The following is a 14,311-nucleotide window of genomic DNA, read 5'->3' as shown; positions in this document are numbered from 1 at the left end:
TAAAGCCTAATTGTTCATGGTGGATAAGCTTTTTGATGTGCTGCTGAATTCAGTTTGCCAGTATTTTGTTGAGGATTTTTGCATTGATGTTCATCAAGGAAATTGGCCTGATGTTTTCTTTTTCCATTGTGTCTCTGCCAGATTTTTGTAGTCAAATGATCCTGGCCTCAAAGAATGAATTAGAAAGGAGTCCCTCCTTCTCAGTCTTTTGGAATAGTTTCAGTAGAAATGGTACCAACTCTTCTTTGTACCTCTGGTAAAATTCAGCTGTCCTGGGCTGAATTGTCTGGCCCTGGGCTTTGATAGGCTATTTATTACTGATTCAATTTTGCAGCTTGTTATTGGTCTGTTCAGGGATTCAATTTCTTCCTGATTCAATCTTGGGAGGGTATATGTATTCAGGAATTTATTTATTTTTATTTATTTTTTATGTCTCATGGTTTTTGATGTGAGCCTTTAGTGCTATAAATTTCCCTCTTAACACTGACTTGGCTGTGTCCCAGAGATTCTGGTATGTTGTATCTTAGTTTTCATTAGTTTCAAATGACTTCTTGATTTCCACCTTGATTTCATTATTTACCCCAAAGTCATTCAGGAGCAGGTTATTCAATTTCCATGCAATTGTCTGGTTTTGAGCAATTCTTTATATTTAATTTCTAATTTTATTGTGTCGTGGTCCAAGTGGTTGGTATGATTTCAGTTCTTCTGCATGTGCTAAGGGTTGTTTTATGCCCAATTGTGTGGTCAATTTTAGAGTTACATGCCATGTGGATTGAGCAGAATGTATATTCTGTTGTTTCGGGGTGGAGGGTTCTGTAGATGTGTATCAGGTCCATTTGATCCAGTGCTGAGTTCAGGTCCTGAATACCTTTGTTAATTTTCTGCCTCAATGATCTGTCTTTCAGTGGGGTGTTGAAGACTCCCACTATTATTGTGTAGGAGTCTAAGTCTCTTTGAAGGTCTTTGAGAACTTGCTTTATGTATCTGGGTGCCCCTGTGTTGAGTGCATATATATTTATGATAGTTATATCTCCATGTTGCATTGAACCCTTTACCTTTATGTAATAACTTTCTTTGTCTTTTTTTAAAATCTTTGTTGATTTAAAGTCTTTTTTTGTCTGAAATTAGGATTGCAACCCCTGCTTCTGTTTTCCACTTGCTTGGTAGATTATTCTCCATCCCTTTATTTGGAGCCCATGGGTGTCATTGTATGTGAGATGGGTGTCTTGAAGGCAGCATACCAGTGGGTATTGGTTCTTTATCCAGCTTTCCACTCTGCCTTTTTATTGGGGCATTTAGCCCATTTACATTCAAGGTTAGTATTATTGATATGTGTGGATTTGACCCTGTCATCATGATGTTTGCTGGTTATTATGCAGACTTGTTTGTGTGGTTGATTTATAGTGTCACTGGTCTGGGTACTTCAGTGTGTTTTTTTAGTGGCTGGTAATGATCTTTCCTTTCCATATTTAGTGCTCCATCCAAATAGGAAAGAAAGAAGTCAAATTGTTCCTGATTGCAAATGACTTGATTTTGTATATAGAAAACCACCAAAAAACTGTTAGAACTAATAACTGAGTTCAGTAAAGTTAAAGGATGCAAAGTCAAAGTATAAAATTCAGTAGCATTTTTATACACCAATAACAAAGTATCTAAAAATGATATCAAGAAAGTAATTCCATTTATAATAGTTACAAAAAATAAAATATCTAGAAATAAATTTAACCAAGGAAGTGAAAGATCTCTACAATGAAAACTGTAAAACATTGATGGAAGGAACTGAAGAAGACACACACAAAATGGAAAGATATCTTGCTCATAGATTGGAAGAATTAATATTGTTAAAATGTGCATAGTAGTAAAGATATTTTTATTGGAAAGATATTGAGTAGTTCACAGAATCCACAAAAAAAGGCTGGAGAGCCCAGTTTGAAGAGTGAACAAAATCAAGTGGGGTGAGGGATTCAGCAGCCAGAAAGTGCCAAGTGAATGGCAGGAAAGATCTGGTTAATATGCCTCTCCTACTGCTCTGCTGCTGAGCATCATATTCCTACCACTATCTTCCTCCAAGAATGAAGTATAAACAACTGCCACTCACAGGTGGTATCTGAAATGTTACTATGTAACCAGCACAGAAATTGAAAATAAACATTTAGAAATTTTATAGTACTTTGACAGAGTAATTTTCTCTCTTGAGAACCCAATTGTATAAAATTGGGGTTTTTAGTTTTAGGACATTTTAATGTGTTATTTTTCTAATGATTTGTTTTTTATTGCCTATTATAAAAGTATATGTCTTCAGAAGATTGGAAATTTTTTAATCCTAGTCCTTCAGCACAGACAGTTTGTGAAACCCTGTCTAAGCTGTCATGGCTTCCACTTGTTACTGACTTCAGAGGTGAAGTCCCAGTTAGGAACACTTGAGTCTTGGGCCTGTATGGTATCTGCCACATAGAGTTTGAAAATCTATTGTTTTCTATGTCTGTGCATCTATGCTGGAGCAGATATCTACCTCTCTCAGAAGCTTCTCAAAGGTGGGCTCCCCAGATGTAGAAAGGGGTGTAGATGTGAACCAGCCAAAATTGTGACAGAGACCAAGATGAGGATTTCAAATTGTCCATAGTTTTTAGGAATATGATGGTTACTGGCAACTTTAACAAGAGAAGTTTCACTGGAATAGTTTTAAATGTGGATAGGAAGTATTCAGGAATGAATTTGAACATAAAGGACTGTACAATCGGCCCTCCATATCCATGGTTTCCACATCCATGGATTTAGCCAACTGTGGGTCAGAAAATACTTGAAAAAAAAGGATGGTTGCATCTGTAATGAACATGTACAATCTTTTCTTCTTGTCATTACTCTCTAAACAATACAGTATAACAATTATTATATAGAATTTATATTGTATTAGGTATAATATATAATCTAGAGATGATTTGGGGTATACTGGAGGATGTGCATAGATTATATGCAAATAGTATATCATTTTATATAAGGGACTTGAGCCTCCATGAATTTTAGCATTCTCCCATAGATACTGAGGGACAAGTGTTTTCAAGATGGTGACACATCTTGAACTGTGTTCAAGATGGTGTCATGAAACATATGGCACACTTAAATTAGGTAAATGAGAAGAGTTTAATAAACAGAATATTTACAAAGTTGTCGGCAAGGGATAGGAAAATCAACAAAGGATGTTGATGCAGCCCATGCTTAGCAACAACAAGAGAAACATTACTACCATTAGGCTCTAGGGGGTAAGGGGGGAACAGTTATCATTAATTACAGAGACTAGCTATAGGAAAGGGCTGCCTAATAGGTGATGTCAACTTCAGTTGAGAAAGTCAGCCAAAACACGAAAGACCATAAGATCCCCCTTAATATCTTGTTAGGGCCTCCCCTTGGTCTAATCCAACTCAAAGGCAGAGGGCCAGAAGGACCATTGACATAGTCTATTAAGATCAGCCCTTCCTGGGTATGGAGCACAGTGGAGAAGGATAGAGAATTGCTTTGGGACAAAGAGAAGATATCCAGCATGGAGAGAGATATCTTTGGATCATATTAAGTTTCTGGGAAAGTGAGAAGGGAGCTGATGCAGAAAGAAGTGGAGAGATTGTCCTTTCATTGAAAGAGAACTACCCTTCCCGCAACCATGGTAATAAGTGAGAAGGGGGAGGATTTAATGTGTTGCCGGTGAGCTTGTAAATATGACAGGAAGTTGATGGGATGGCTTCTATTTTCTCTGCAAAGTGCAAACTGTCATCTGTTAAAATAAAGGAGGTGAAGAACAGCAGAGATCTGAGAAGAGAGTTGAGAATGCATGAATTATTGAAAAGAACTGGAGGACAAATTGACCAGAGAAATAAAGTCAGTTGGCCAGTCACCCTCAAAGCCCAGATGAGCTTAGTCAACTTTAATTTAAAGTGAACACACATCCAATTAGTTGTATGATTTTAATGTATAAAAATATTATATTTTCCTAAAATATAATATTTTAAGAAATATTATATTTTAAAATTTAATATATTTATATTATATTTTGAAATATTATATTTTAAAACATAATATATTTATATTTTATTATATTTTGAAATATAATATATTTATATTTTATTATATTTTGAAATATATATTAAAATATAATATATTTATATTATATTATATTTTAAAATATTATATTTTAAAATATAATATATTTATATTATCTTATATTTTAAAATATATTTATATTATATTATATTTTGAAATATATTTTAAAATATAATATATTTATATTATATTATATTTTAAAATATAATATATTTATATTATATTATATTTTAAAATATAATATATTTATATTATATTTTAAAATATAATATATTTATATTATATTTATATATTAATATATATAAATATATATATTATAATATAATATAATTATATTATATTATATATAATATATAATATATATAATATAATATAATTATATATAATATAATATAAATATATTATATTATAAATATAAATATATTTATAATATATTTATATTATATTTTAAAATATAATATATTTATATTAATTATATTATATTTTAAAATATAATATTTTTAAATGCTTACAAATATCATTTTTAAAATACTTGCAACAATGTACATGGCAGATATTATCATCCATGTCTCACAAATAAGAACATCGCATTTAGAGACATTAAGTGATTTACCAAAGTTTACCCAGTTAATCAATGGTATGGTAGGATTTGATTCAACTGTTTCTACATGATGTTAGAATCACCTCACTCAGTAAATACTAGTATGAATGACTGCAAATTAGTTTTCTGACAAAGTACAAGCAAGAAAAGAAAACAGATAGAACCTTATAGTCAGAGAAGTTCAGAAAAACAGAAAGCAAGTATGCAAGAAGGAATGACAGACAAGGTAGATTCTGATCAAATAGCATACCCAGGGCAATGCTATTTCTTGCTCAATAGTACTCTGGGTCATCAAGTCAAATATAAAGCCATTCACGTGAATTTTTGATATCACACACACTTAAGTACACACAGAAGGAAACCTAGTTAGAAGATAGCACAGTGTCGCTGAGGGCATACGTATTTTTATGTGATTTGTGTTGCCTGGTTATGTAGGATGATTGTATAATTTCCAAACTGAAACATTTTGAAATGAAAACAATAAAGTTACATACTTTTAAAAGATATTTATTGATCAGAAAATTGGACTAATTGCATTGAAAATACTTAAAAATTATATATTCAAACTATTTTCAAATATGAAATTCTTTTAAAAATAACATTTCATGTAACAAACTTTTCAAAATGGTTTTCCAAAATTAAAATTACATAAGCAGAATAATTATTCTTGGTATATATTCATAAACTTTAATCTGTTTATCAGCTATATTTATTTCTAATACCATGTTACTGACATTTCTCTGTAGAACTTAATAAAATTGCCTGCAATATTTTTCAAAGTTGCAGTTTGTAGTTAATATATTTGAAATTTCTCATCACTTTAATTGATTCTTTTCTGAAGACTATAGTATTTTTAATTGAGAAAATATTCTCTTTAGGCTGGGTGCAGTGGCTCACACCTGTAATCCCAGCACTTCGGGAGGCCGAGGTGGGCAGATCACCTGAGGTCAGGAGTTTGAGACGAGCCTGGCCAACATGGAGAAACCCCGTCTCTATTAAAAATACAAAAATTAGCCAGGCATGATGGTGCGCACTTGTAATCCCAGCTGCTCAGGAGAAGGCTGAAGCAGAAGAATCGCTTGAACCCGGGAGGTGGAGGTTGTAGTGAGCCGAGATCACGCCGCTGCACTCCAGCCTGGGCAACAAAAAAAAAAAAAAAAAAAAAAAAGAAAATATTCTTTTTAGGTGGGCACAAACATTACAATAAGATAGAAAAGATAAATTCCATTCCATGTTTGATAGCAGAGTAGGATGACTATATTCAAAAAAAATGTATTGTGCTCAGGCAATGGATACCCTAAATATCCTGACTTGATCACTACACATTATATACTTGTAAAAAATTTTCATGTACCCCGTAAATGTGTACAAATACCAAAAAAGATTTAATTTGGGAACAAAAAGAAAAATATTCTCTTTACAGATGCTAAGGTATCTGGTCAATTTCAAGCAAATTCTGCTAATTAGAGAATATTCTCAATTCTAATTATTTAAATATTTTGGAATAAACATTTTGAAGGGTACTGTCTTTTTGCTTCCATTTTGGGTCCTTCAACAAATATTTTTACATGATAAAACTCATTAGCTGGGCATGGTGGTGCATGCCTGTAGTTTCAGCTACTAGGGAAGCTGGAGTTGGAGGATCATTAGAGGTTAGGAGTTCGAGGTTGTAGTGTGCTACTTGTGCACCGGTGAATAGCCACTGCACTCCAGCCTGGGCAACATAGCAAGACCCTGTCTCTAAAAGTAATTCCCTGTGTTTATGTTTTTTCTGAATGGTTCACCATATTTAAATGCTACAAAATCAAAGCCTTCTTAAGCTTATTCCATTCCAGTACAAACTATAAACTCTCTAGTTAAAAATAAGATGCATCGAGTTAAGATATCACAAAGTGCAGTTATAAAATGTCAAAATTAAACCTTGTACACAGTTTGGGCTCTCATCATGTAATCTGTTAAATGATACATTTCAATGTCTTCTTATATACAAGCTTTGTTTCCATAATTACAATTTGCTAAGAGCTTCAAAAGCTGAAAATTTTGGTACTTCATTCCTTGAGTACTTTAATTAAAGATTTCCAAATGATTTTAAACAAAATGCAACCTAAATTTAAAGGACCTGTTTACAATAATATTCAATACTCTCTAGAACACTTGAGTTAATTAACAAAGTACTTCTGTAAAGGCTCAAACATTTTAAAAATCTGAGTGATGACTGGAAACAAAAAGAGGATCACGTACTGCCATGCTAAAATTTTCTGTTCTATGCTCCACATCACATTTATCATAAAACTTTGCAATTCAATTATTCTAAATGTATATATGTATATACATTTGTAAATGTTGAAAACTATTGCTTCTATTTCAATTCATAGATTGTCACAGTGTAGATGAAATGATGAATTATATGTGCCCCACAACCAATTCCAAATACAGTTTTGCCTTATAGGTTTCTTAATTTAGTAAGAACATTGCTTTTACTAAGATAATTATATTCCATCTCAATTTGTATTTGGATTATCACAAAAAAATTATCTTCAATATTAGATTTTTAACTGAATTTACAAATCAGTATTACCATTAAATCCATATGTTTCACCTCTAACAAAATGAACTTCCCAAAATCATACTTTGCATAAATTGGATGAAAAAATTAAGTCATTACTGAAATTAACCAATTTTCTGTTTGAAGCATCTGATGTCGCTAATATCAGACTGGCATCATTTAACTGTTTGCAAAGATCTTTTTCTGCTAATGGAGTCAACCCTTTACCACCTATCACTTCACTCTTTGTGTATGCACAGGAAAACATGGAATTGAAAATGAATAGAATTAATTTGGAGGACCCATCATTTGATCTAATTGAAAAGCCATGCTTCACAGAATGCTATGTAAATCACCTTCTGCAGCTAACTTTTGAAATAGATGCTCCTGTTTTGTAAGCAGGTTTGAGTCTTCTGGTTTTCACATGGTCAGTGATATTACTAAGGCTTCCAGTTGGATGGTAAATGTTAACAAACATTTTGTTCAGTTTACACAATCACCATCTTTACTTTTGAGAAATAGAAATTTAGTACTTAATTATTTACAGAACATGTGTTCTTTTACCCATTGCTATTGAAATTCATTGCTATGGAGAGGGTACATTTGCAAAACACCGAGGTATAACCAAACAAAACAAGTAGATAGTTGTAGACTTATGCCTTAACATAAATAATAAAACAAATGCAGCAGGAGTGTTTACTTGGTTTTCTCTGTGCTCTGCAGTAGGACTATTAAGCTTCCATTTGTCACGTGCATCTCTCTTATAGCTAACCCAAAGTTTCTCACATTTCCTGATTCTTTAAACTATTAACCTGGCAGCTTTATGCATCTTGCTGGCTATGGCATGTGCCACAGCAGAAGTAACTGGTACACTAACTGACCAGCAGATGCAAAAGCGTCAAATATACCACGCAAGGCCAGGAGTTAGCAATCTCTAACTAATGGAGTCCAAGAGAACTTTGTTCTTCAAACAAGATCCTTGCAGGCTGTCCTTGTAACAGAAATGTTCATTACATTGCATCTGGATAGCGTTGTCATATTTCACATTTAACCATGTGTTATAGAGAGAACTCTGTACCCTGCCCATACATCTTACACACTACTACATGAAAATTACATTCTTTGAAATCTACTTTACCTGATATTAATATAGCCACTCCTGCTTTTGTTGTTTTTGTCATTTTTGTTAATATTTGCATGGTACATCTTCTTCCATCCTTTTACTTTCAACCTATGCTATTGTATTTAAAATGAGGTTCTTGTAGAGAGCATATAGCTGGATCATGGCTTTTTAAAATCCATTCTGCCAGTCTCTGTTTTTAATTGGGGTATTTAGACTATTTTCATGTAAGGTTAACTATTGATATGTTAGGGCTTTTACTGACATTTTATTATTTCTTTTTTAATTCTTTCTTATATATCTTATTCTTCCGTTTCTCTTTTCTAGCCTTCCAGTGGGTTGCTTGAACATTTTTTAGGTTTTTATCTTGATTTATTTATAGTCTTTTTGAATATTTCACTGTTTATAGCTTAGCAACAGCCAAGGACGTCCACTCTCACCACTCTTATTCAACATAGTGCTAGAAGGTCCAAGTTCTGTCCAATAAGGCAGGAAAAAGAAATGAAATGCACACAGATTGAAAAGGAAAAAATAAAACTGTCCCTATTTGCAGATGACATGTTTTCTATGTAGAAAATTCCAAAGAATCAACAAAATACAAAAGCTTAGAGATAGTAAGTGCACTTTTCAAAGCCCCAGGATTCAAAATCAACACACAAAAATTAATCTCAATTCTATATACTAGCAACAGACATGTGGAAACTGAAATTAAAAATTGAATACAATGTACAATTACTCCAAAGAAAATTAAATATGTAGATATAAATCTAACAGAACATGAACAGTATTTGTGTCCCGAAAATTACAAAATGCTAATAAAAGCAGTCAAAGGAAAACTAAATAAAAGAAGCACCATACCGTGTTCATGGACCAGAAGACTCAAAAAAGTAAAAATGTAAACTCTCCCTCAATTGACTTACAGACTAATGCAATATTTATCAAAGTCCCAGCAGGGATTTCTGTAGACATAAAGAAGTGTATTCAAAAATTGACATGGAACTACACAGAACCTAGAATAATTAAAATAACCTTTAAAGGGAAAATAAAGTGGATAGAACCACTCTACCATGTGCTAAGACTGACTACATGGCTATAGTGGTCAAGATAGTATAGTATTGGCAGAGGAATAGACACATGGATCAATGGAACAAAATAGAGAACCCAGGAATAGAACTACCCAAATATGCTTAACTGATCTTTGGCAAAGGTGCAAAAGCAACTTGTAATAAAGTGTCTATTTTTGATGTTTGACCACTAACAGCTTTCAGCCCCTACCTCTCTCCCTTCCGTTTTTCTTTGATATCTAGGTGAGCTGATAAGAAAGCCTGAGCACTCCTTCCCTTGGCACCACCAGGAAATGCCAAACCACAAAAATTTCTGCTCACACACAGGAATCCTCATCCCAGCCCCATCCCTGGACCATAATAAAATCCAAAGTTACTGGCCCTTTCCCTTACTCAAGCCATTTCAGACTGGTTTGGGTGTCTGCCCTGCTCTCCCCCAAAAGTCCAATTATGTGAATAATAAAACTTTTTAGACCCTCTTAATGTGTGTGTGTGTGAGATAGAGAGAGATCAGTCTCAATCAACATCTGAACCAATTTTGAGTAGGGGGTTGGTCCTGCTCTCCATGGGGCAACCACTAAACAATTGGTACTGGAAGTAGGATTGTGCATCATATCACTACGCACTTATCAGAATGTCTAAAATAAAAAAAAAAATAGTGATAACACCAAATGCTGGCAATGATGCCAAGAAATTAGAGCACTCATACATTGCCAGTGGGAATGTAAAATGGTACAACCAATGGAAAACAGTATGGTAGTTTCTTCTAAAAAAATAAACATGTGCTTACTGTGCAACCTAGCTATTGCATTCTTGGGCATTTAACCCAGAAAAAAGAAAACTTATATCCACACAAAGACTTGTAATAAAATAGCCATAGCACCTTTATTGATAATAGCCTCAAACTCGAAACAACCCAAATGTCCATCAACTGATGAATGGATAAACAAAATATGGTGTATCTATACCATGGAATGGTGTAAAAAGAACGAACTATCAATACCATGCAACAAGTTAAATGGATCTCAAGAAAATTATGCTGAGCTAAAATAAATAAATAAGGTAAACAAAAAGGTTACATCCTGTATGATTTTATTTATATAACATTTTTGAAATGACTCAATTATAGAGATGGAGAACAGATTACTGGTTGCCAAGGTTTGGGGTTGGGGTGGAGATGGGGCATGGAAGGGAGGTGAGTGTGGTTATAAAAGAGCAGTACAAGGGATCCTTGTTACAGAACTCTTCTGTATCTTGACTGTGGTGGTGGTCACACTATTCTACACATAATGATAAAATTGCAAAGAACAAAATACACACACACAACGACTGCCTGTAAAACTGGAGAAATATGAATAAGGTTAAATGGATTGTATAAATGTCAATTCGCTGGCTGTGATATTCTACTATAGTTATGCAAGATGTTACCACTGAGGGAAACTGGGTGATGGGTGTAAGGAATTTATCTGTATTATTTCTTAAAACTGCATGTGAATATACAGTTATCTCAAAATAAAAAGTAAAAACAAAATCTCTCCCAATGTCTAGGTTAAAGAGGAAAGAATGTGCTCCAGTTTCGAAAATAAATTACCCTATCATTTCCAGTACAAAACAGTTGTTAAAACTGCTGTTGCCAGGATCTACACACTGCTGTCAATGGGAGGAAGGAAGGATGGCACACTGCTCATGAGGAAAAATTTTGAAAGTTAGCACCAATCTTGAGTGACTGGTAAAGTGACTTGCTGAGAGCTGTCATCTGGTGCCTCTGGTAGGTTTTCTTGTTTCCTGGGGCAGAGTAGCAGAGAGAAACTGACTGGGGAAGAGAGCTTTCTATTTCATTGTTGTTTCTAGTTAACTTGAATTGTCTTGATATTCAGAAGAAGTGGAGACACTTGGTCTTTTGGTATGCTTCCCATTCAGTAGATAGAATGACGCATTTATATGAGAAAACGTAGTAGAATTTGAAGAAGAGAATAGGCAGGAAGGCTCAGACACCCTGGTAGAATTTCAGCCAGAATCCTTCACTGCAATCTGACCCTATGTTCCTAGGGGAGGAAGGTCCTGGAAAAGATATTTACACTGGGATGTCTGATCACTTTAGGCAGATCTAAGCGATTTTGAGTCCTGCTTTCCCATTTCTCCTTCCTTGTCAATTGTCTTTGGTTCCCACAAAAGAATGTTGCCCTGATACTGACAATAAGCAAATGATCCACTTCAAGCACAGACAATGGATGTGGAGCACGGATTTGAGCAAGATATCCTGGAACCTAGAGCTGTACCCACTCCAGGTCCTGCTAGTCATCATTCAAAGGTCAGTCCATACCAGCAGCCACATACCAGAGAGTTATGGAACCAACATGATGATCAAACTAATATATGCAAGTAATACTAACTCACACCTGTCCTTACATAAGATTGTAAAATCTTTGTGATCCAATAAAACCATTTGCTCAAAGAAAAAAAAGTATGGGAAACATGTCCATTTTTCTTGAGAGTATTTAACATTGTACAGATATTTGGGTAGGTACTCTTCTTATATACCTTACCACAGGCCTAATAGCATCTTTGTTTTACAGGAGTGACTGCTAAGTGGCAGAAGGCTGGGGAAGTATTTGCTACATAGAATTTCTTATGCAAACAAAATTGAAGATATCCACATTGATTCTTCAACACACATACAGGTTACTTACCCAGGTGTAGACATGGGATTCCACCCCACCCTGCCACTGTTCTTCCAAACTGAAATCTGAAAAATGGCAAGTCTAAAAGGGATAAAAGAGGTTCTTGCACTTCCATGAAAAAGTTCTATTGGAGGAGGTATTTATGAAGGTGAGTAAGATTCTCAACAATAGTTTACTCTAAAGTCTTTTAGAAATAACTTTCTCCAAAAGTCTCAGACCCTAAAGTTCCACTGTTAGCTGAGGAAGGGTTTCTCCATGCTGCTTTTTCTTTTCTTTTTTTAATTTATTTTTTATTTTTTTTTTAGACGGAGTTTCTCTCTGTCGCTGGGCTGGAGTGCAGTGGCGTGATCTCAGCTCACTGCAATCTCCACCTCCCGGGTTCAAGCGATTCTCCTGCCTCAGCCTCCCAAGTAACTGGGACTATAGGTGCACACCACCACGCCTGGCTAATTTTTTTCTATTTTAGTAGAGACGGGGTTTCACCATGTTGGCCAGGATGGTCTCGATCTCCTGACCTTGTGATCCGCCCGCCTCGGCCTCCCAAAGTGCTGGGATTACAGGCATGAGCCACCGTGCCCAGCCCACACTGCTATCTATACTCAGAAGGATTCACATGACACTGGCGTTTGCAATCATGATTAAACATACCTGATTCACTTAGACAACATGCCATGTTAGTAGACAGTTAAAAGGAGAAAACTGTAATTGTGTTGATAACAATAACTGAAGACAATTGTGAAAAGTCCTAAGATACAGCATTCTTCTTGGTGAAGCATGAATAATTCATCACTTGTAAATTTTAAGAAAATGTGCTCTATGGAACTTATAATTTTCCCTCATACCTGCTCCTCCCACTCCACTGTTCTCCAAGTCTCTTAACATCATTAGCCAGTCATCTTCTGCCTTCCTCAGCACTGTACAGTGTGAGCCCAGGATACCTTCACCCAGTCCTGACACACTGTCAGCTAGAGAGAAATGGGAATCTCTGCCACCAACAAGTGAGTCGAGAGTTACTGATGCAGCCATCAACCTAACATTCTGGGTGTCTCCAGCTGTAAAATTGAGCTCTCCCAGCACCTTCTGTTTTCACCCAACCCTTTTGGACTGGGTACATCAGATTTTTAACTGCCAGCCTAGGGACTAGTCTCTCAACCTGGTGAATTTCCACCTGCCCTTGCCTCTCCTACTCCTTGCTTTCTTCTCTTCTCAATAATTCCCCATCCCCATACACACACATGACTCACATGACACATATGCATCATCTGCATCACACACATACACACACACACACACACACACACACACACACACACCCTGGGTACAGCAAGGGTCGTGTGTTGTTCTCTTCAGCTCCTGTTTCCTTGGAACAGGATGTTACACAGAAATGCTCATAATACCTGTTAATTGAATTCATCGAAGAAAAGCCATTCCAAATAATGCCTAACAGAATGAAGAAAGGGGTAAATTGCTCTTGGAAATCTGATTCTTCTTATAAACTTGGAAGACCTAATTAGCAGAGAGAAGAAGAAAACAAATTAATTAGAAAACACTAAATTTGCACCAAGGGTACAAACAAAGCATAAGCACCATGACTAAAATTAAACCATAATATACTTCACAGGGCCATACTGATTCAATAAAATGGGCCCAGAGTTCAGACTTCTCAAATAAATTATTCCCCAAAATGGATAAATGGGATTATTTCCTCCCACGTTTATTTTTCACATGGAAAAAACCACCTTGAATCAAAAAGTTTGGACAAAGAAAATGACCTCCTTACCCTACTCTTCACAATAATAGATGTTAAGCTGAAGCTGACGAAAGCAGGAAGCTGTGGAAATCTACGGCTGTCCTGATAGACATTCCATTCTGCTCACTGCTCAGGCCCCAGCTGTAAGTTTGTACAGTCAAAACAGTCAGGTTTCCAAATGGCCAGAAAAGGACAAACTATGAAATGTGAAGGCTCCTGTCTTCACTTTGAGCAGGAAATTCATAGAGCAGGCAAAACCTGACCAATATCTATCTCCTCAATCTAGAAAACTCTTACCAGAGTCTTTAGCTCTAGTATTGAAACGCAACATTTTGCCTCAGTTCTCCACCTTACAATTTATCACACCAATTGCCGGCCCAAGCAGACAAGTCATCCTTTGGAGTTTGAATTTATATGGTCCAACCTCCAGCCAAAGGGCTTCTGGAGAACCCATGAAT

The 14,311-nt window shown here is 35.2% G+C and overlaps 1 long non-coding RNA gene across 2 annotated transcripts; it reads right to left on the bottom strand.

Moving 5' to 3' along the window:
- Positions 1-5,184: 5,184 nt before the first annotated feature.
- LOC105373191 (uncharacterized) lies at positions 5,185-14,149 on the bottom strand. 2 transcript variants are annotated; one of them, XR_002958824.2, is made up of 3 exons: positions 13,884-14,149; positions 13,501-13,609; positions 5,185-5,828 (listed from the first exon to the last, which is right to left on the bottom strand). It is a non-coding gene; the product is annotated as an uncharacterized LOC105373191 (long non-coding RNA). The 2 variants fall into 2 exon arrangements; XR_002958825.1 differs by lacking the exon at positions 5,185-5,828 and adding an exon at positions 12,137-12,184.
- Positions 14,150-14,311: the final 162 nt, after the last annotated feature.

The sequence above is a fragment of the Homo sapiens genome, chromosome X (genome assembly GCF_000001405.40).
Source record: "Homo sapiens chromosome X, GRCh38.p14 Primary Assembly".
NCBI classification, from domain to species: Eukaryota; Metazoa; Chordata; class Mammalia; order Primates; family Hominidae; genus Homo; species Homo sapiens.
Note: the sequence above shows the minus strand (reverse complement) of the source record. Positions and strands in the feature narration are given on the sequence as shown.